The following is a 22,824-nucleotide window of genomic DNA, read 5'->3' as shown; positions in this document are numbered from 1 at the left end:
TGACATGATTTTCTTCTTCTTCTTTTTTTTTTTTTTTTTTTTGAGGCGAAGTCTCACTCCGTCTCCCAGGCTGGAGTGCAGTGGTGTGATCTCAGCTCACTACAACGTCCACCTCCCGGATTCAAGTGATTCTCCTGCCTCAGCCTCCCGAGTAGCTGGGACTACAGGCATCCACCACCACCCATGGCTAATTTTTGTATTTTTAGTAGAGACAGGGTTTCACCATGTTGGCCAGGCTGGTCTTGAACTCCTGACCAAGTGATCCACCCACCTTGGCCTCCCAAAGTGCTGGGATTACAGGCGTGAGCCATCGCACCCAGCCAACATGATTTTTTGAAATGGCAAATAACTCTGGTAAAGAAGCTCTGAACAAAACAAAGTATACTCTTTTCTTCCTTTATTCCAATAGAAACATTCCTGGAAATTTTAGTATGAAAACCATGCAAAATGCTTAATGTTTATAATTATCTGAACTAGAACCTAAATAACTTTACCAAAAAAATGGTTTTTTGCATACTTGAATGTTGGTGCAAGGCACAGGACACCAGAAATTGTGCAGGACTCTGGACAGTTAATTGGGTTTTTGGTTTTTTGGGTTTTTTTTTTTTTAATTGAGACAGGGTCTCACTCTGCTACCCAGGTTTGAGTGCAATGGTGCGATAACAGCTTCCTGCAGCCTTGACCTCTGGAGCTTAAACAGTCCTCCTACCTCAGCCTCCCAAATAACTGAGACCACAGGCATGTGCCACCATGCCCAACTAATTTTTTTCTAAATTTATTTATTTTTTTTTTTTGTAGAGATGGAGATCTCACTACATTGCCTAGGCTGGTCTTGAACTCCTGGGCTCAAGCCATCCTCCCGCCTCAGCCTCTCAAGGTACTGGGATTAGAGGAGTGGGCCACCATGACTGGCCAGGACAGTTCATTGTTATATGGCCCTGTTCACATAGCAAGGGAGGTTGGCTTCCTTGGTTCCCACTCTCTAAATGCCAATAGACTCTCTCCCAAATTTATGACAAATAAAAAGTCCCCTCCTATATTTCCAAAATGCTTCACCCCACTTCCCAGTCCCATCACCCTCCACATCCAAGCCAAGAAGCCCTGGTTTAAATGGGAAGGATGCAGGCGGGAAGGAGTCACAGGAGATGTGCTGCCTGCTGGGTGGTTTGAGATTGATGGCTGTGGAACCAGATTCAGAGTTAAGAAACATGTCCTGGGCTGGGTGCGGTGGCTCGTGCCTGTAATCCTAGCACTTTGGGAGGCTGTGGCAGGCAGATCACGAGGTCAGGAGTTCGAGACCAGCCTGGCCAGCATGATGAAACCCCGTCTCTACTAAAAATACAAAAAAATTAGCCGGGCATTGTGGCACGTGCCTGTAGTCCCAGCTACTCGGGAGGCTGAGGCAGGAGAATTGCTTGAACCCAGCAGGCGGAGGTTGCAGTGAGCCAAGATCGTGCCACTGCACTCCAGCCTGGGCAACAGAGCGAGACTCCATCAAAAAAGGAAGGAAGGAAGGAGGGAGGGAGGGAGGGAGGGAGGGGAGGGGAGGGGGAGGGAAATGTCCTGAGCATATCCCACATGCTGAGATCCTCCAGTGTATGTATTCTACTATCTCACTCAAGAGCCCTCCTTCCAATGCAAAAGAGAATACTTCAAAGGAGAACAGAAGTTGTAACTTGCCCATCAGACAAGGAAGGGGACTGAGAGTTGACTCACTTACTCATGCAGTCATTCTTTCATCTGGTGGATATTCTCTGAGTCCTTGCCTTCTGTGTCCAGCAAGCCCTGTGCCCGCTGTCTAGGCATACACTGTTGAAAAAAATCAGACTTGATTCCTACCCATGTGAAGTTTGCGAGGAATGAAAGTGCACTTGGGGATATGGGAAACTGAAAGAAGTATCATTAAAGGATGGGAAGAAGAAGTGATAGGAGGAGCTAGCACTAAGAGGAACACACCCCAATTCAAGAACATCCGGGAGAAGGAAAATAAATCCAAATCAGGGCTCTGGGAAGATTTGCAGACACGTGGGCAGGAAGGGCTGGCAACAGGAATGGGTGGAAATAGAGAATGGAACAGTGAAAGGGATCCTTATCACAAGAAAGGGAAGGCTCAGGAGGAAGATCAGAGCAAAGAGGCTGATCCTCCAGTACTGTCTTTCCTGCCCGATCAGCAAGCCCCACCCTCATCCCTTCCCTGCTGCAAATGCTTCCTGGATGAGTAGCTAGAGAAACAACTCATACCCTAGCCTCCCCAGCAAACCCTCCCTAGCTGGGACAGTAACCCAGCCAAGGCTTCACAGCTAAGCAATGAGACTTGTGGGAGAGCTGGGAATGAGTTCTTGCTATGCATCAGGGAGCAAGCATCACATGGTGTTTCATCCTGCCAAGCCACAGGGCAGTCTCAGAACCAGATAGGCAGATGAACAGGTTGTATTAATTTGTTTTCACACTGCTGATAAAGACATACCCAAGACTGGGAAGAAAAAGAAGTTTAATTGGACTTACAGTACCATGTGGCTGGGGAGGCCTCAGAATCATGGAGGGAGGCGAAAGGCGCTTCTTACATGGTGGCGGCAAGAGAAAATGAGGAAGAAGCAAAAGCAGAAACCCCTAATAAACCCATCAGATCTCGTGAGACTAACTCACTATCATGAGAATAGCACTTGAGAGACCAGCACCCATAATTCAATTACCTCACCCTGAGTCCGTCCCACAACACCTAGGAATTCTGGGAGATACAATTCAAGTTGATATTTGGGTGGGGACACAGCCAAACCATATTACAGGGCAATACTTGGGTTTCATGCCTCGTTTTTAAAAGACAGCCCCAACACCTCCCAAACATGCTGTTTTCCTCACAGCTAATCTGCTTATCAAATAATAACTAAAACTACATCAGTCTACAGGGTAGCTGGAGTAACCTCATCTGTGTCATTGAAGGTCAAGTTGTTGTTGTTTTCAGACAAGAAGCACTAATGTATATGGAGGTTCTATCTCAATCAGCATTATCGGTTGCAAGAAAGAAACCAGCTCTGGATGCCTTAAGTAGAAAAGGGACATTAGGCTGGGCACAGTGGCTCACGCCTGTAATCCCAGCACTTTGGGAGGCCAAGGCAGGTGGATCACGAGGTCAGGAGATCACCACCAGCCTGGCCAAGATGGTGAAACCCCGTCTCTACTAAAAATACAAAAATTAGCCAGGTGCAGTGGCAGGTGCCTGTAATCCCAGCTGCTCGGGAGGCTGAGGCAGAGAACTGCCTGAACCCAGAGGTTGAGGTTGCAGTGAGCTGAAATCGTGCCACTGCACTCCAGCCTGGGCAACAGAGCGAGATTCTGTCTCAAAAAAAAGAAAAAGAAGAAAAGGGACATTAAAAGGCTCTCAGGGATTCACAGAACCATTAAAATGATGGGTAATGATGGGAGGAGAAGTGCACAGGAATGAGGACAGCTGTGGATAATCAAAAAGCAGAATGTCCACCTTCTTTTAGTAGAAACAGCCTGGCTACCCCCAGGATGCTCCCATGTCATCACAAATTACTGTAGAATGAACGACACAAATATAAAGAGAGTGAGAGTGAAAATTCTCAGTGGGAGTTTCCAATTGACCAACTGTATGTCAAAGGCCAGCATTGTAGCTGTCAGAGCAGGGAGAATATACTTGGCCCCCTTACTTCTGCCAGAACTATTATGATGGGTATTCCTTCAAAAAATGGAAAGGGGGATTGAATACTGGCAGCAGCAGATGGGGAAAGAAAGATGTCTACTATAGGCTCCACAAATATAAGATCTTCTTATCATATACTTTTTTCTACATATATAAACAAAGTGGTATAATAGTGAAAATTGGCTGGACACAGTGGTTCATGCCTGTAATCCCAGCATTTTTGGAGGCCAAGGTAGGCACATCACTTGAGGTCAGGAGTTCAAGACCAGCCTGAGCAACATGATGAAACCCTGCCTCTACTAAAAATACAAAAAAAAAAAAAAAATTGCCAGGTATGGTGTCACATGCCTGTAATCCCAGCTACTCAGGAGGCTGAGGCATGAGAATCACTTGAACCTGGGAGGCATAGGTTGCAGTAAACCGAGATCGTGCCACTGCACTCCAGCCGGGGCAACAGAGCCAGACTTTGTCTCAATAATAATAATAATAATAATAATACTCAGTCCTAGAGCCACAAAAGGTTCTGCTAAATAAATGTATACTAGAGTGCGGGAGGGCAGGGAGGGGTGTGGCTCAGGCAGGCTTAGACTCTACCCAGAAAGGTCTCCTAGGACATAAGAAAAGTACTGGATCTAACATCAAGTCTTTCTCAGAAATCTGGTCTCAAATCGCGTTTGGGGCAATTCTTTACACCTGAATTTTGTCATCGTTAAAATGGAGATAAGGCCAAGTGTGGTGGCTCATGCCTGTAATCCCAGTACTTTGTGAGGCCAAGGCTGGTGTATCGCTTGAGCTCAGGAGTTTGAGACCAGCCTGGGCAACAAAATGAGACCCTGTCTCTACAAAAAAATGCAAAAATTAGCCAGGTATAGTGGCATGTGCCTGTGGTTCCAGCTACTCATGAGGCTGAGGTGGGAGCTGGCTTAAGTCCAGGAGGCAGAGGTTGCAGTGAGCCGAGATCACACCACTGCACTCCAGCCTGGGCTATAAACCAGACCCTGTCTCAAAAGAAAAAAAAAAAAGGAAAGAAAAAGGAGTTAAAATATTTTCTCCTACTTCAAGAACTACCTCAAAGATATGCCAAAAGAATAAACATTGTGTCTCTTGGGCCATAGAATACCTCAGAGCAAGTGGGACTGTGGAGACCAAAAGTTATCTTTGTGTTTGCACATCATCACTCTAAAAGAGAATATATTAATTTGTCTCAGTTAGCTGCAGTAATAAAGTACATATTTTGACTGGGCACAGTAGCCCATGCCTGTAATCCTAGCACTTTGGGAGGCCGAGGCAGGAGGATCACTTAAGCCCAGGAGTTCACGATTTTCAAGATTACCCTGGGCAACATGGCAAGACCTCATCTCTACAAAAATTCTAAAAATTATTTTTAAAAATATTAGCCAAGGCCAGATGCAGTAGTTCACACTTGTAATCCCAGCACTTTGGGAGGCCAAGGCAGGCAGATCACCTGAGATCAGGAGTTTGAGACCAGCCTGGCCAACATGGAGAAACCCCATCTCTACTAAAAATACAAAAATTAGTCGAGCATGGTGGTACACGCCTATAGTCCCAGCTATTCAGGAGGCTGAGGCAGGAGCATCACTAGAACCCAGGAGGTAGAGGCTGCAACGAGCCAAGACTGCGCCACTGCACTCCAGCCTGGGCAACAGAGTGAGACTCTGTCTCCAAAAAATAAATAAATAAATAAAAGTAGCCAGGTTTGGTGGCGCATGCGTATGGTCCCAGCTACTTCAGAGGCTGAGGTGGGAGGGGTGCTTGAGCCCAGGAGGTCACAGCTACAGTGAGCCATGATGGCACCATTGCACTCCAACCTAGTTGACTAAGCAAGATCTTGTCTCAAAAATATTGTATGTTCCAGGAACAGCTTACATATAGCTTGTGGGAGCCAGGGTGGGCAAAAAGCATGCCGCTACAATATTGAGGATGTGTGCTCTGCTTGCTGATTGCAGCTTCTGATCATAAAGATGCAGACAAAGAGGCAGGTGGCCATGTTGTTGCACCTGCCCCCCCACCCCGTTGCAACCTCCTTTCCCTCAAGCTGAAGTGACTTTCAAGTGATTTAAAGATCCAGTACCCCTTCCTCACCTCTTCATTTTTCTTTTTTCTCTCTTTTAATAGCCAGACATTAAAGACTAGGACACTCAAAAGCAACTGTATATATGGGGAAAATTAGAAAGTGACTGTGTATTCTCAAAGAAATGCATAGATTTAGGAAAGATCTGAGAAGACCCTAAGCTGACACCTTAGCTGATCTTTGCACAGAGACAGCCCACAACAATTAACAATAAAAAATAATAATAATAAACAGCAAATTCTGGGAAAGGGGAAAAATATGATTTCCAGAGTTAACACATTATTAGATTTAAATGTCCAGTTTTCAACAAAAATCACAAGGCATACAAAAAGAATAGAAAAGTATGGCCCATTCAAAGGAAAAACTAAATCATTATGAACTGTCCCTGAAAAAGACTTGATGGCAGACCTACTAGACAAACACTTTAAAACAATTATTATAAAGATGCTTAAAGAACAAAAGGAAGATGTGGAGAAAATCAAGAAATCAATGTATGAACAAAATGAAAATATCAAAAAATAGATGTAAGATCTAAGCCAGGCACAGTGGTGAATGCCTGCAGTCACAGCCACTCAGAAGGCAGGGGGGTCACTTGAGACCAGCCTGGGAAACATAGCAAGATCCTGTTGAAAAAGAGAGAGAGAAAGAATGAGAGAGAGAAGGAAAAAGAGAGAGAGAAAGAGAGACAGAGAGAAAGAGAGACAGAGAGAAAAAAGCAACCTTAAAAATAATCTAAAAAGAAATTTTGAAGATCAAAAGTACAATAACTGGACCAGGCACAGTGGCTCATGCCTGTAATCCCAGCACTTTGGGAGGCCAAGTCAGGCAGATCACTCAAGGCCAGGAGTTCAAGACCAGCCTGGCCAACATGGTGAAACCCCATCTCCACTAAAAATACAAAAATTAGCCAGCTGTGGTGCCTGTAATCCCAGCTACTCAGGAGCCTGAGGCACGAGAATCACTTAAACCTAGGATGTGGAAGTTGCAATGAGCTGAGATCATGCCACTGCACTCTAGCCTCCCACTAGTGAGAGAGATTCTGTCTCAATTAAAAAAAAAATAGTACAATAACTGAAATGTAAATTCACTAGAGGGATTCAAAGGCAGATTTGAGCAAGCAAAAGAATCAGTGAACTTGAAGATAATAGAACTTGAAGACAATAGAAATTATTAAGTCTGAGGAGCAGAAATAAAAATTACTGAAGGAAAGTGAACAGAGCCTAAGACATCTGTGGGACACCATCAAGCAGATCAACATACACATTGTGGGAGTTCCAGAGGAGAAGAGAAAGAGAAAGGAACAGAAATAATATCTGAATATATAATGGCTGAAAAGTTTCCAAATGTGATAAAATATATAAATACAAACATACAAAAAGCTCAACTCCAAGAAAGATGAACTCAAAGAGACCATACTAAACATATTATAACTAAAATTTTGAAAAACAAAGACCAAAAGAGAATCTTGAAAGCAGCAAGACAGAAGCAATTTGTCTCATACAAGGGATCCTTGATAAGATTATCAGATTTCTCATCAGGAACTTTGGAGGCCAGAGAGCAATGGGCCAATATATTTAAAGTGCTAAAACAGAAAAAAACTGTCAACCAAGAATTGTATAACCAGCAGATCTGTCCTTTAAAAGTGAGACAGGAATTAAGATATTTCCAGATAAACAAAAAAACGAGAGTTTGTAACCACTAGATCTCCCCTGTAAGAAATTCTCAAAGGAGTTCTTCAGAGTGAAATTAAAGAACACTAGACAGTAACTCAAAGTTGTATGAAGAAATAAAGATCTCAATAAAGGTAAATACATGGGCAATAATAAAGGTTAGTATTGTTTTAACAGTCTTAATTCCACTATTTTTTTTCTACATGATTTAAGAGATGAACACATTTTTAAAATTATTAGCCTAAAAGGTAGTGCTATAGTTTGGATGATTTTCCTCTCCAAATCTCATAATGAAAGTTGATCTCCACCAGGTGCAGTGGCTTATGCCTGTAATCCCAGCACTTTGGGAGGCCAAGGCAGGCAGATCAACTGAGGTCGGAAGTTCAAGACCATCCTCGTCAACATGGAGAAACCCCATCTCTACTAAAATACAAAAATTGGCCAGGTGTGGTGGTGCACACATGTGGTCCCAGCTACTTAGGAGGCTGAGGCAGGAGAATTGCTTTAATCCAGGAGACAGAGGTTGCAGTGAGCCAAGATCACGCCACTGCACTCCAGCCAGAGCAATTGAGTAAGACTCCATCTCAAAAAAAATCTCCAATGTTGGAGGCAGAGCCTGGGGCCTAATGGGAGGTGTCTGAGTCATGGGGCAGATCCCTCGTGAATAGATTAATGTCCCTTTTAGCCTTCTTTGTTTCCTCTCAACTACCCTTTACTTTTCTCCCTCTTTTTTTTTTTTTTTTATACTTTAAGTTCTAGGGTACATGTGCACAATGTACAGGTTTGTTACATAGGTACACATGTGCCATGTTGGTTTGCTGCACCCATCAACTTGTCATGTACATTAGGTATTTCTCCTAATGCTATCCCTCCCACAGCCCCCCACCCCCTGACAGGCCCCAGTGTGTGATATTCCCTGCCCTGTGTCCAAGTGTTCTCATTGTTCAATTTCCACCTATGAGTGAGAACATACGGTGTTTGGTTTTCTGTCCTTGTGATAGTTTGCTTAGAATGATGGTTTCCAACTTCATCCATGTGCCTTCAAAGGACATGAACTCATCCTTTTTTATGATCGCATTGTATTCCATGGTGTATATGTGCCATATTTTCTTTCTTTTATTTTTTTTTAAAGATGGAGTCTCACTCTGTCACCCAGACTGGAGTGCAGTGGCACGATCTCGGCTCACTGCAAGCTCTGCCTCCCGGGTTCACACCATTCTCCTGCCTCAGCCTCCCAAGTAGCTGGGACTACAGGTGCCCGCCACCATGCCCGGCTACTTTTTGTATTTTTAGTAGAGACGGAGTTTCACCATGTTAGCCAGGATGGTCTTGATCTCCTGACCTTGTGATCCGCCCGCCTTGGTCTCCCAAAGTGTATGTGCCACATTTTCTTAATCTAGTCTATCATTGATGGACATTTAGGTTGGTTCCAAGTCTTTGCTATTGTGAATAGTGCCACAATAAACATACGTGTGCATGTGTCTTTATAGTAGCATGATTTATAATCCTTCGGGTATATACCCAGTAATGGGATCGCTGGGTCAAATCATATTTCTAGTTCTAGATCCTTGAGGAATTGCCACACTGTCTTCCACAATGGTTGAACTAGTTTACAGTCCCACCAACAATGTAAAAGTGTTCCTATTTCTCCACATCCTCTCCAGCATCTGTTGTTTCCTGACTTTTTAATGATCATCATTCTAACTGGCGTGAGATAGTATCTCATTGTGGTTTTGATTTGCATTTCTCTGATGACCAGTGATGATGAGCATTTTTTCATATGTGTGTTGGCTGCATAAATGTCTTCTTTTGAGAAGAGTCTGTTCATATCCTTTGCCCACTTTTTGATGGGGTTGTTTGTTTTTTTCTTGTACATTTGTTTAAGTTCTTTGTAGATTCTGGATATTAGCCTTTTGTCAGATGGGTAGATTGCAAAAATTTTCTCCCATTCTGTAGGTTGCCTGTTCACTCTGATGGTAGTTTCTTTTGCCATGAAGAAGCTCTTTAGTTTAATTAGATCCATTTGTCTATTTTGGCTTTTGCTGCCATTGCTTTTGGTGCGTGAAGTCCTTGCCCATGTCTGTGTCCTGAATGGTATTGCCTAGATTTTCTTCTAGGATTTTTATGGTTTTAGGTCTAACATTTAAGTCTTTCATCCATCTTGAGTTAATTTTCATATAAGGTGTAAGGAAGGGATCCAGTTTCAGCTTTCTACATGTGGCTATCCAGGTTTCGCAGCACCATTTATTAAATAAGGAATCCTTTCCCCATTTCTTGTTTTTGTCAGGTTTGTCAAAGATCAGATGGTTGTAGATGTGTGGTGTTATTTCTGAGGCCTCTGTCCTGTTCCATTGGTCTATATATCTGTTTTGGTACCAGTACCATGCTGTTTTGGTTACTGTAGCCTTGTAGTATAGTTTGAAGTCAGGTAGAGTGATGCCTCTAGCTTTGTTCTTTTTGCTTAGGATTATCTTGGCAATGCGGGCTCTTTTTTGGTTTCATATGAACTTTAAAGTAGTTTTTTCCAATTCTGTGAAGAAAGTCATTGGTAGCTTGATGGGGATGGCATTGAATCTAAAAATTACCTTGGGCAGTATGGCCATTTTCACAATATTGATTCTTCCTATCCATAAGCACGGAATGTTCTTCCATTTGTTTGTGTCCTCCTTTATTTCATTGGGCAGTGGTTTGTAGTTCTCCTTGAAGAGGTCCTTCATATCCCTTGTAAGTTGGATTCCTAGATATTTCTCTTTGTAGCAATTGTGAATGGGAGTTCACTCATGATTTGGCTCTCTGTCTGTTATTGGTGTAAAGGAACACTTGTGATTTTTGCACATTGATTTTGTATCCTGAGACTTTGCTGAAGTTGCTCATCAGCTTAAGGAGATTTTTGGGCTGAGAAGATGGGGTTTTCTAAATATACAATCATGTCATCTGCAAATGGAAATTTGACTTCCTCTTTTCCCAAATGAATACTCTTTATTTTTTTCTCTTGCCTGATTGCCCTGGCCAGAACTTCCAACACTTTGTTGAATAGGAGTAGTGAGAGAGGGCATCCTTGTCTTGTGCCAGTTTTCAAAGGGAATGCTTCCAGTTTTTGCTCATTCAGTATGATATTGGCTGTGGGTTTGTCATAAATAGCTCTTATTATTTTGAGATGCATTCCATTAATACCTAGTTTATTGAGAGATTTTAGCATGAAGGGCTGTTGAATTTTGTTGAAGGCTTTTCTGCATCTACTTTTCTCCCTCTTTCTTACTCCAATTCTCTTTTCTCTCAATTATTTCTCACCTTTTTCTTTTTTCTTTTTTTTTTTTAAATGGAGTTTTGCTCTTGTTGCCCAGGCTGGGAGTGCAATGGCCTGATCTCGGATCACCACAACCTCCACCTCCCAAGTTCAAGTGATTCTCCTGCCTCAGCCTCCCAAGTAGCTGGGATTACATGCATGTGCCACCACGCCCGGCTAATTTTGTATTTTTAGTAGAGATGGGGATTCTCCATGTTGGTCAGGCTGATCTCGAACTCCCGTCGTGACACGTCTGCCTCAGCCTCCCAAAGTGCTGGGATTACAGGCTTGAGCCACCGCGCCCAGCTGATTTCTCACCTTTTTCTTCCAAATGTCTCTTCCTCTCCCGGGAACCTCTACCGCAATCCCATGTCCAAAATACAATCAGCCTTGTCAATCAGGGGAGAAGCTATGGTAAAAATGGGATACAAATTAAGTTTAATCTCTGTGTGACCTGCACTGTACATTTGAAATCAAGTCATTTTATGGGTAAGTAGTATCCAGCTGGGATCCAGGAAATAAGAAGCCTAAATTGCTTTTATTGGTGGGAAAAAGAGATTTTATGTTGGAGGGTTTGTTACATACAAGTGTGAAAAGATAGCAGAATTAAGGCTCTGTGTTAATCCATGTACTCTGAGAAGCAGGCATCAAGACAGAGCTAAACATACAAGGATTTTTAAGCAAATTCTTAGGGAGAAAATGAGAGGGAGATGGTTGAGATAGCAATCAGCCTACAATGCAAGTCTGACCTCAAAAGAACAAGACAGGGACGAAAAGTTGAGTGGAAGTTTTGTATACAGCTGTGTACTCTAAGGAAGGCTTAGCAAAACTGTCAGAGCCAGTCTTAGAGAAATCCCTTATTTTCCAGGCAGAATCAGCTTAATGAGAATGTCACCTGTATAGTCACACAGGGCCAATACTTGGCTTAATCCTCTGCTGCTGCCATCTTAAATTTTTTCATCATATTTGACAAGGGGCCTGCATTTTCATTTTGCACTAGATCTTGCAAATTATGTAGCCATCTCTGTTCTCAGGAATGGGTCTGCCTAGTATCCTTGCTGAGCTGTCACTGGGCTAGGAGTAGCCCATGGGAAGCATCCTCAGTACAAACATAGCAGTACACTTCAGAGCAAAGTAACTGGGGCCCAGAAAATGAGGTTCCCTGTAGCTGAAGGTCTGTGAGGCATGTTCTAATGGCCACCACAATCTACCCCTTGAGCCGTATAGATGTACTTCTCCACACAGGTGCAAGGAGCAGCTACTCCATAGTCCTCATGGGCCTTCCTTCCTAAGGGGCAACTGAGCAGAGGGGGTTGGTTGGATGAATTACAGTCCCAAGATCACCACAGTTGATCACAGGACCACAATTAGTACTTACCTTCTCCCTCTTCCACTATTCATTCTAAATCCCCTTCACCCTCAGCTATCGCCTTGGCCGGTCTTGGTGGCTTACCTGGTGGTGTAACCCAAACTTTCATTCCTGAGGGGTCTGAACTCACGATAATCATACTCTTCTAAGGCTGAGGTTGCCGCGTCTATCTATTCACAGTTATAATGGGGCTAGGGAGTACAGGAGGTACCCAAATGAATCACCCGAGTTCCACACATCTTCCTCCTTGCCCCATCTTGTAAATGAACTTACCTCCCCCTAACGATCACTTCAGTGCTTTTGCTAGTATACCAGCTCCTCTCTTGCCTGCTGGTGCCTGAACACAAAAAGTACAAAGCACCCTGTCAGCAGCCACAACTTATAGTTCAGTGGCACCTTTATTATATCCCTGGCAAGAGTGTGTTCCCTTTGAGAATCAGGACCTCCAATCATGCAGAGCCTAGAGTTGCAGAGAAAGAAAGCAGAAAATCCCCCAGTGGATCACTGGGGAATGGTAGTAAGTGGGTCACTGGAAACGATGGTAAGTAGGGCCACTTCTCCTTCCACCCCTTAGTTTCCTGACCCTTGTATCCTTCCTACTAGGGAAGTAGAACCATAGAGAGGTCACTGATTTAATAAATGCACCGTGTCCTGAAAGATGGCACTTCATTATTTCACATCCTTTCTCAGAGCTACCATTTCAGTTGTTACTTTAGAAGACCATCTCAACAATCTATAAGGCCAGTTGCTTCTGGGTGGTGCAGTTCATAACACAACCAGAGAATCCCATGGTCAGGACCCACTCCCACACCTCCTTCACTTGAAGTAGATTCCCTAGTTGGATGCTCTGCTACGCAGGATTCCACAACTGTGGATCAAGCATTCCCTAAGCTTCCAGATGGAAGTGCTGGCTGAGGCTCTGTGGGCAGAAAAACCATACAATATTAATTTACAGTTTGCCTTAGAGTTATATTACCCATCCCACCTCCTATTATAAGATAGTCTGAGAGATCTGGACCTCTTAAACATCCAAGAACATATCACATTGATCCATTACACTGAGATGACATAAAGCTCATTAGACAGGACCAGCCAGAGGGGCAAGTATGCTGGAGGCCTTGATGAGATGCGTGCATTTCAGAGCGTAGGAGATAAACCCTGTGAAGAGTCCAGAACAGGCCATTTCAGAAACATATTTGGAGGTCTCGTGGTTGGAAGTATTCTGGAATAGCCTGTTCTAAAGTAAAAGGCAAATTGATGTATCTTCTAGCCCTGTTTTGAGGAAAGAAGGCAGTGCCTTGTAGGCCTTTTTGTGTTCTTGAGACAACATATTCCACCCCTGGGGGATATATTTCTGGCCCATGTACTGGGTGACACAGAAAGCTTCTGGCTTGAGTGGGGCTAGAACGAGAAAGGGTGCTGCAGCAGGTCCAAGCCATAGTGCAGTCAGCTCTGCCAGCAGACCCCCATGGTGTTGGAGGTGTGAGTGGTGGGAAAAGATGTAGTGTGACCACTGAATGGATCTGCAGGCCTCCTGGGCCCATTGTAAACTGGGCTTTATCTAGCACCCCATTTTTTAGTTGGTCCTCCTAAACTCTGCTCTAACAGCAGGGCTATGATGCTTCTTTGGGTCTCTCAGTATCAGTGCAACTCAGACCCTTTGTCCAATAGTTTTTTTTTTTTTTTTTAGCGGGAGGGAGTCTTGCTCTGTCGCCCAGGCTGGAGTGCAGCAGCACGATCTCGGCTCGCTGCAACCTCCGCCTCCTGTGTTCAAGCGATTCTCCTGCCTCAGCCTCCCAAGTAGCCAGGATTACAGGCGCCCACCACCACGCCCAGCTAATTTTTGTATTTTTAGTAGAGACAGGGTTTCACCATATTGGCCAGGCTGGTCTCAAACTCCTGACCTCAAGTGATCCAGCCTCAGCCTCCCAAAGTGCTGGGATTACAGGCATGACCCACTGCGCCTGGCCTGTCCAATTACTTTATAAATGTCTGATTATTCCCCCTTCAGTGTATAGTCACCCAAGAAAATGGCCATAGGTCCCTTTGAGGAGACTAGGGGAATCATCACAGTATATGTTTGCCATCATGTTGCACGGTTCTTCCTTCAACCACCTCTCCAGTCCATGTATCCAGATCTAAAAATTAACTTAAGTCTGGGAACTGGGCAAGGGAGCCGGATTTTTATTGAAATTACTGCCCTCAGCCTCTTGCTCCTCCAATTTGCTTTAAAAAAATAAATAGATCAGGGATCAGTATATGATGGCCCAGGAGCCATTGATGGCCTGATCTAGTCAATCATCTATTTTTCATAAACAAAGGTTTGTTAAAACACGGGACACTCGTTTGCTTACATATCGTCTATGGTTGCTTTTGTGCTACAACAGCTGAGCTGAGCAGTTGCCACAAAGAGTGTATGACTTGCAAAGTCTAAAATATTTAGCCCTTTACCTGAACAGTTTGTTGATCCCGTTATAGATGCTAAAAGCATCCTTGTTGACTGCCTGCCTGTTTTGCTTCTAAGTGCAAAATAGACACTACGCTCCATTAACCATGTCCACAACCCCCTGCTGGTAAAGCCCAGTGATTGTCACTCAAACCCTGCCTTTTGGTGGGTAAGGCAATTAAAGCCTCCTGGCTCCTGGCAGTTAAGTGCCACCTCCTGGCCCCCATCATGCCCACAGATGCTGACAAGCTCAGATTGTAACCGCCACTCCTACCATCAGCACGGCCTGCAGAACTTCTTAGTGATGGTGCCCTTCTCATCAGTGCATTTCGATGGCTGGGAGAATAGTGTATCTTGTGTGCCTTCTCATAGGACATATTCTCTGGTGGGTCTTTTGGCCATATATATATATTTAATATATAGAATATATATTAAATATATAGAATATATATTTAATATATATTCTATATATTTAATATATATTATATATTCTATATATTTAATATATATTATATATTCTATATATTTAATATATATTATATATTCTATATATTAAAATATATTATATATTATATATTATAAATATTAAATATATATTATATATTAATATAATTAATATATATTTAATTATATATTTATTATATATTTATATATTTCAATATATATTAATTATATATAAATAATATACAATTATTATAATATAATTTGTATTAATATATTAATATATATTAAATATATAATATAAAATATATAATATATATTTAATATAATATATTATATAATATATATAAATATATAAATATATATAAATATATAAATATATATTATATAATATATATAAATATATATAAATATATATATTTAATAAAATATATATATTTAATAAAATATATATATTTTTATATATTTAATATATATAATATATATTTAATATATATATTATATATATTAAATATATATATATGGCCAAAAGACCCACCAGAGAATATGTCCTATGAGAAGGCACACAAGATACACCACTCTCCCAGCCATCGAAATGCACTGATGAGAAGGTTACCATCACTAAGAAGTTCTGCACGCCGCGCTGATGGTCAATATTAAATTTTATATATATATTAAATTAAATATATTATATATTTAAACATTAAATTAAATATATTATACATTTAAATATATATTTAATTAAATATATATATATATATATTTTTTTTTGAGATGGAGTCTCGCTCTGTCACCTAGGCTGGAGTGCAGTGGCGTGATCTCAGCTCACTGCAAGCTCCGCCTCCCAGGTTCACACCATTCTCCTGCCTCAGCCTCCCGAGTAGCTGGGACTACAGGCGCCCACCACCCCGCTCGGCTAATTTTTTTTTTTTTTTTTTAGTAGAGACGGGGTTTCACCGTGTTAGCCAGGATGGTCTCGATCTCCTGAGCTCATGATCCACCCGCCTGAGCCTCCCAAAGTGCTGGGATTACAGGCGTGGGCCACCGCTCCCGGCCTATATTTTCGATTTTAAAATAAATATAATACCTTATTACAAAAATAGAGATGGGGATTCACCGTGTTGCCCAGGCTGGTCTCGAACTCCTGAGCTCAAGCAGTCCACCAGCCGCAGACTCTCAAAGTGCTGGGATTATAGGTGTAAGCCGCTGCGCCTGGCCCGGCCTTATATAATATAGTCCTTCAAACACGTCCACTTCCTTCAGCCTCTTTGTTCTTATCTGTACTATCTGCCTGAGTGAAGAAGTAAAGGAGGGTTGGGGAGAAGCATTAAACTACCAAGCAGAGCTTCAGCAAGGCTAACAGGGAGTCCTTGAATCAAAGTCAGAGAAGTCCCATGTCTTCCAGGAATAGACCTGTCTTAGTATCCCTGCCGGCCTTAACTATTTGCTAGGAGCAGCCTGTATAGGAAGCATGCCTGGGTGCAAATGCAGATAGGTCTCAGTACAGCAATGGAGCCCTTAGGCCATTTTGTTCCCTGTGGCTGGAGGTGTGTGAGGCACATTCTCCTGGCCACCATAGGAGCCAGAACAAAGACCAGGATGGGTGTGACACAGCCTGATTTAAATGCCAGTCTGCGTCTTTAATAACAGGTCTGACTTGTAAAGTAATACAAGCTGCTGCTCAGGATGGCACTGCTTTCAGGAGTGTCTTTTGAGTCAGTAGAATAAGACGGCTCCCAGGCAGACTGCATAGGGACAAAGTGATTCGTGTGTGCCTCACCTCCTCTCTCCTTGCTATTATACTTGCAATCCAAACAGGAAAGAAGTACTTGCCCTGACTCAGAAGCAGTCTATTCCCTGTTCCTCCATTCTGAGAGGGTGAATTGACAGATCTTAGGATTCCTCACTTGAGGCCTAGGCTGTGAGGTGGTTAAAGGCCAAAAACAACCCACCTGCAATGAGTGCATTTGCCTGGAAGCTGCAATTGCAGCAAGAGCCATTGATGTCACAGTACGTTAATGCCAGTAAGAGTCTTAGGGATCACCTCCTGTCTGTACATTTATCCCTAAGGGAAACTAACTTTCTCCAGTGATAAAAATTTCGCTTCTAGTACTAGCTATGCTCTTTCTTCAAAGCTATGAAGGTGCAAAATAGATGGAGCTGAGTGGTAGGCTACAGACCCAGAAATGCAGGCCCAGGAAGGCAGAATCAAGGATAGATTTCTCCAGATGGTGGTGGGGATGAAATGTCTCAAAACAGCCCTGCCTTAACGGGAATGTCCTAACCATCCCGCAGTTGTTAATTTCTCCTAGCAGCTTTGTCTTCCTTCTATCAGCATCATTGTTATCTCAAGGAGACGCTCCTGAGCCAAATCTCACCCAGTTCTAGTCTCACTGTTGCTCATTTCTATCCCTAGAGGTGTGGAGTTTTACCGGCTGTCTAGAATTAAAGCAACCTTGCAGGAAAATAACAGTTCTGTGTATCCTCACCACTAGGCTCTCTCCTTACAGAGAAACTCATGCCTTCTTCACTTTTGTTCTTCCAATATCATCAGACTGGATAAAGAAAAATAGCAGATAGATTGGTGTAGCCCCATAATTCCCCATTATGGATATAGTTTTATCAAGATATTTAAAGTAAAACTCCTAAGGTCAATTTCTATCCCTACTCCTAGGGTCTCCAACTTAAGAAAATTCACCTTTTTCCAAAAATCAAATCCCAGCCCCACCACCTACACCTGTGTGATCCTGGGCAGTTATCAGACCCAATGCGTCTCAGCTTCCTCACCTGTAAAATGGTAATAACAATAGTTACCTCCTAAGGTTGCTGTTATGAGATAACATGTATAAAGCAACTGAAATATAATACACGCTCAACAGAGCTGGGGCTCTGAATTTTAGGTTTGAGAAGGAGCTGACATAGATCTGGTATTAAAAATCTAGCCAAATATGAGAATAAGAAAAGAAATTGGACGACATGAAGGAAACACGCAGCAAAAAAATAAGGGAAACACCCAGGTGTGTGGCCGAGAGGAAGATTACATCTCTGTGCTGGTCATTGATATCTTCGTCCTTGAATTCCTGGATTAGCAGACATGGAAAATACATAAACTCCTAAGTAGGATCCTTATTATTAAATTAAATAATGTACATTAAAACATTTTGAAAAATATAACTTACTAGAATAACCTACAAGACAGTGATATGCTTATAGTTGCAATAAACAGAGATCTGTTAGGCACAGGAGGGCGGTATGGTAAAAATGTTTGTGAAAATGTGGAAAACAAGAACCTTAGCCTAGAACCCAAGAAAAGTCTAGCGCCCAAGTCTCACAGAGCCCATACAGGCAAATTGGCTCAGGATCCAAGGCATTTTGAGGGAGCTGATTACTTTGTCCCCTTTCAGAAGCAGAAGTTCATCAACCTCCTACTCATCTCCACTTAATACTCATCTACTCTGTCAGTATCTGTGTGCCCTCTCACTTATTTAATTACTAAAGGGTTGACTCTGACTATTCTAGTGCATATTCCCCAGATGGTAATTGACTAAGCCATTGAGATTCCCTGCAGTCTCCATCTAGGCAGAGTTTCTCCTGCCAGGCCAATTCATCACTGACTAGCCCGTGGGTTGGCTACTCTTGGGCCAGGTGTCCACCCCATATCCAATCAGTTAAGGCCTGACATTGTAGGCTCAGATGAATAAAAGCATGGAAACACATGGGATCCCAAAGATCCCAGCAAGATCTTTGGACTGGAATGTTTTTCTTAAATGACGATTCTGAGCATGGCTGTTAATAGATGACAGATGAATTGATCATTAATTGATCAAAACCTCAAGCCTAACATCAAACTGGGAGACTCAAGAAGTTAGAAAATATCTTAAATCCTATAAAATGTTTCAGATAGATTGCTTTCAAGCATCTCACTGTTTAAACAAAGGTCAGACCATACAGAAAATCCTAATTTGCCTAAAAAGTTATAGTTAAAAAGGCTTAGGCCAGCCAGGAGCAGTGGCTCCCACCTGTAATGCCAGCACTTTGGGAGGCCGAGGCCAGGAGTTCGAGACCAGCCTGGCCAACGTGGCAAAACCCCATCTCTACTGAAAATACAAAAAATTAGCCAGGGGTGGTGGTGGGTGCCTGTAGTCCCAGCTGCTTTGGAGGCTGAGGCACAAGAGTCGCTTGAACCCGGAGAAAGAGGTTGCAGTGAGCCGAGATCGCGCCACTGCACTCTAGTGTGAGCAACAGAGCAAGACTATCTCAAAAAAGAAAAAAGGCCTAGGCCGGCCAAACTTCATCAGACCAATTGAGACAATACTAGAATTTGTAGAACTGGGAGAACAATACCACAAGATGGCAGCATTATCCCTTTTGTGCCTTGTACTGTTAAAAAGTCTGAGAGCCAGATTATCTGTTGAGCCTGCTCTCAATTGGCCCACCTCTTTCCTGAAGCTATTTTTAAGAGAACTGAGCAGCCCCTAGTTGATGGAGAATATATAAATCTAAATAGACATGGCATCTATTTTTTTATCCTCCAGTTCACTCATTATCTCTGAGCTCATTTGATTTCTAAAATCTCAGGACCTGTTATCATTATTTTTTAGTATAATTAAATACATAATTAGGCATGGAAGCAGTGGCTTGTATTATCCAAGGATTACAAGCTCCTTAGCCATGTCTGAATTGCAGAAATTCAATTTTTTAATTGTAACATTCTTTATTTGTCATTTATGTAATCCAGTTTTTCGTTATAACTTTTAAAAATATATGTATATCTCTTTCCTACAAGATTCAATTCAAGCCCAAAATACATACTGAAAACCAACTATGAATGTTAATTTTATGTGGGAATTTGGGTAGGCCATGGTGCCCAGTATCTGGCCAACCACCAGTCTAGACGTTGCTGTGAAAGTATTTTTAAATGAGATTAAATTTAATTCAGTAGACTTAAAGGAGATTGTCCTCCATAATAGTGGGGGCCTCATCCAAGCAGTTGAAGGCTTTAAGAGAAAAAGACTGAGATCCCCAGGGAAGAGGAAATTCTGCCTCCAGACCGCCTTTGGACTCAAACTACAACATCGACTCCTCCCTGGGTTTTCAGCTGTTGGCCTGCCCTACAAATTTCAGACTTGCCAGCCCTCACAATAAGCTATAGACCAGGCACCGCACCATGGAATACAAAGATAATTAAGAAATATCTTGGGCCGCGCACCTGTAATCCCAGCTACTTGGGAGGCTGAGGCAGGAGAATCGCTTGAACCCGGGAGGCAGAGGTTGCAGTGAGCCGAGATCGAGCCACTGCACTCCAGCCTGGCAACAGAGCAAGACTCCGGCAAAAAAAAAAAGAAAAGGAAAGAAATATCTTTGATCTCATGTTAGGAAAACTCCCTACTGGAACCAATAATTGCCTCCATAAGTGGAGGGCAAGCTCAGACCAAAGGAAGAGGTAGACCACTCCAGGTTGGTAGGTAGCCAAAAATTTATTCAGGGGGAACTTACATAGAAGGCAGTCTTGGGCAGCAGCAAGACAAGGTACATCTCAGAACTTGCAATATACACCTAACCTTTCATACCATGAAAATGAAAGTGCACAGAAAGTCTCTGATGACATGTTAAGCCATCTGGTTGCTTTCTTAATCTATTTACTCTAGTTACCTTCTATCTCTTTAATTCCTACTTACAGGGATTGTTTGGGTTCCCTACAATGAATGTTCCTAAGCATGCTGGGCAGAGGGTGGGACTGCAGGGAATGGGGTAGGGGGAGGTTCCAGGCAGCAGCAGTTCACTGCTTCCTATGACTCACTTCAGTCATATACCCAGAACGCATCTGAAAAACACATGAACACATAACTAATACTGTGTTAAGACAATGTATTATGAAAATACTGTGGGAACACAGAAAAATAAATTCTTTGGGTGGCAGTGAGAAAAACTGTAAAGAGGTGCCATTTGACTTGCAAAGAATAAACAGGTCTCCAACAGGCAGACATTAGAGGCAGTGGAAACCCGATGAGCAAAAATAGATGTGCAAAAGGTGGCAAAATAAGTAGTCCCCCATGTAGATATGTGACTTCGAGGTACTAAGATATAATATCCAACATTTGAGCTCTTACTATTTTGTTAATAAGGGCTTTTATATAGATATCATGAAACTTTACATCCTTATCAAGTTACAAGCTCTTAGAATCCTAACTTCACGATTTTAGAAACTTAGGAACACAGAATTTAAGCAATTTGTCTAATGCCCCAAATCAAGCAGGAACATGAACCAAAGCAGTCTGACTTTATTTATTTATTTATTTAGGGACAGGGTCATGTTCTATCACCAGGCTGGAGTGCAGTGGTGGGATCATGGCTCACTGCCTTGACCTCCTGGGTTCAAGTGATCCACCCACCTCAGCCTCCCAAGTAACTGGAACTACAGGCATGTGCCACCACACCTGTCTAATTTTTTCTTTTCTTCTTTTTTTTTTTTTGGCAGAGATGGGGGGGGGGGTCTCACTATGTTGCCCAGGCTGGTCTCGAACTCCTGAGCTCAAGTGATCCTCCTGCTTCAGCTTCCAAAAGTGCTGGGATTATAGGTGTGAGTCATCATGCCCGGTTTCAATCTGACTTGAGTTCATAATCCTAAACACTATATTACTAAGGCCCTATGTGCTTTAAAATTTTAAATGTTATAATCAAAGGGGAGCCTAGGAACCTTCAGGTTTATAGACATATTTTTGTTTCTTAGTATTCCCTCGTCTTTTTTTTTGAGACGGAGTCTCACCCTGTCACCCAGGCTGGAGTGCAATGGGGCGATCTTGGCTCACTGCAACCTCCGCCTCCCAGGTTCAAGCGATTCTCCTGCCTCAGCCTCCCAAGTAGCTGGGATTACAGGCACGCCCTACCACACCTGGCCACTTTTTTGTATCTTTAGTAGAGACGGGGTTTCACCATGTTGGCCAGGCTGGTCTCGAACTCCTGACCTTCTGATCCACCTGCCTCGGCCTCCCAAAGTGCTGGGATTATAGGCATGAGCCACCGCGCCAGGCCTGTATTCCCTTGTACTTTTTAACTCTCTCTTCTAATGGACTAATAAAAGTCAGGCCTAAAAATAAGAGTGAAAATCATTCTCAGAGTGATTTTCAGCCCATCCTTATCAGGATTTGAACATTGCAGGCTTCCTAGAGCTCATTAGGAATATATTTATGGTCTAAACCAGAATGAACAGCTACAAACTTTTCCTCCGTTTACAATAAAGTGACAGTAGGGGGCGACTTTTTGTTACTTTTAACCAAAAACAGGTGGATTCTGTTTATTCTTTACAGAAAAATAGGTGGATTGTTTATTCTTTACAGAATAAGCCTCCCTTATTCAGGGTACGTACATGAAGCATAAATTACCTTGACCTTCCACGTTGGTCTAGGCCTGTTCTTTTCTCTTTCTCAATCACCACCCCCATCCCATCCCAAATTTTACCCACCTTCTCTTTGATTGCCCTTCTTTTACAGTGTGTTTCTTTGGAATTTTTGCTTTAAGTGCTTTTCAAATTGCAGTCATTAGAACTGTCTCTCTTGACTACTCACTTCATTCTCCTACAGGTTTTGAAAATAAACCTAGTCTCACTCAAATGCTAACCTGAAGACTAAATGGAATCTGACCTCATACATACAAACTGAGGTAAAACAGTAGGAATAAACTTGTAACCCCAGCACTTTGGGAGGCCGAGGCAGGCAGATCAAAAGGTCAGGAGATCAAGACCATCCTGGCTAACACGGTGAAACCCGTCTCTACTAAAAATACAAAAAATTAGCGAGGCATGGTGGTGGGTGCCTGTAGTCCCTGCTACTAGGGAGGCTGAGGCAGGAGAATGGCGT

The 22,824-nt window shown here is 42.6% G+C and overlaps 1 protein-coding gene across 1 annotated transcript in view, besides 1 other annotated feature; it reads right to left on the bottom strand.

Annotated features, from left to right (window-relative positions):
- SQOR (sulfide quinone oxidoreductase) overlaps positions 1-2,588 on the bottom strand; it is a 60,134-nt gene extending 57,546 nt beyond the window's left edge. The window contains exons 1-2 of the mRNA NM_001271213.2: positions 2,506-2,588; positions 1,717-1,809 (exon numbers count right to left, since the gene is read on the bottom strand). The gene's annotated coding sequence lies outside the window, so the exon portion shown is untranslated. The remainder of the gene's footprint in view (positions 1-1,716; positions 1,810-2,505) is intronic.
- Positions 19,065-19,184: an enhancer, noted in NCBI's record as "active region_9364". NCBI's record gives its function as "activates an Ori minimal core promoter by ATAC-STARR-seq in GM12878 lymphoblastoid cells {active_cell/tissue: GM12878}" and the evidence as "EXISTENCE:reporter gene assay evidence [ECO:0000049][PMID:35858748]".

This window comes from Homo sapiens, chromosome 15 (genome assembly GCF_000001405.40).
Source record: "Homo sapiens chromosome 15, GRCh38.p14 Primary Assembly".
Classification (NCBI taxonomy): domain Eukaryota; kingdom Metazoa; phylum Chordata; class Mammalia; order Primates; family Hominidae; genus Homo; species Homo sapiens.
Note: the sequence above shows the minus strand (reverse complement) of the source record. Positions and strands in the feature narration are given on the sequence as shown.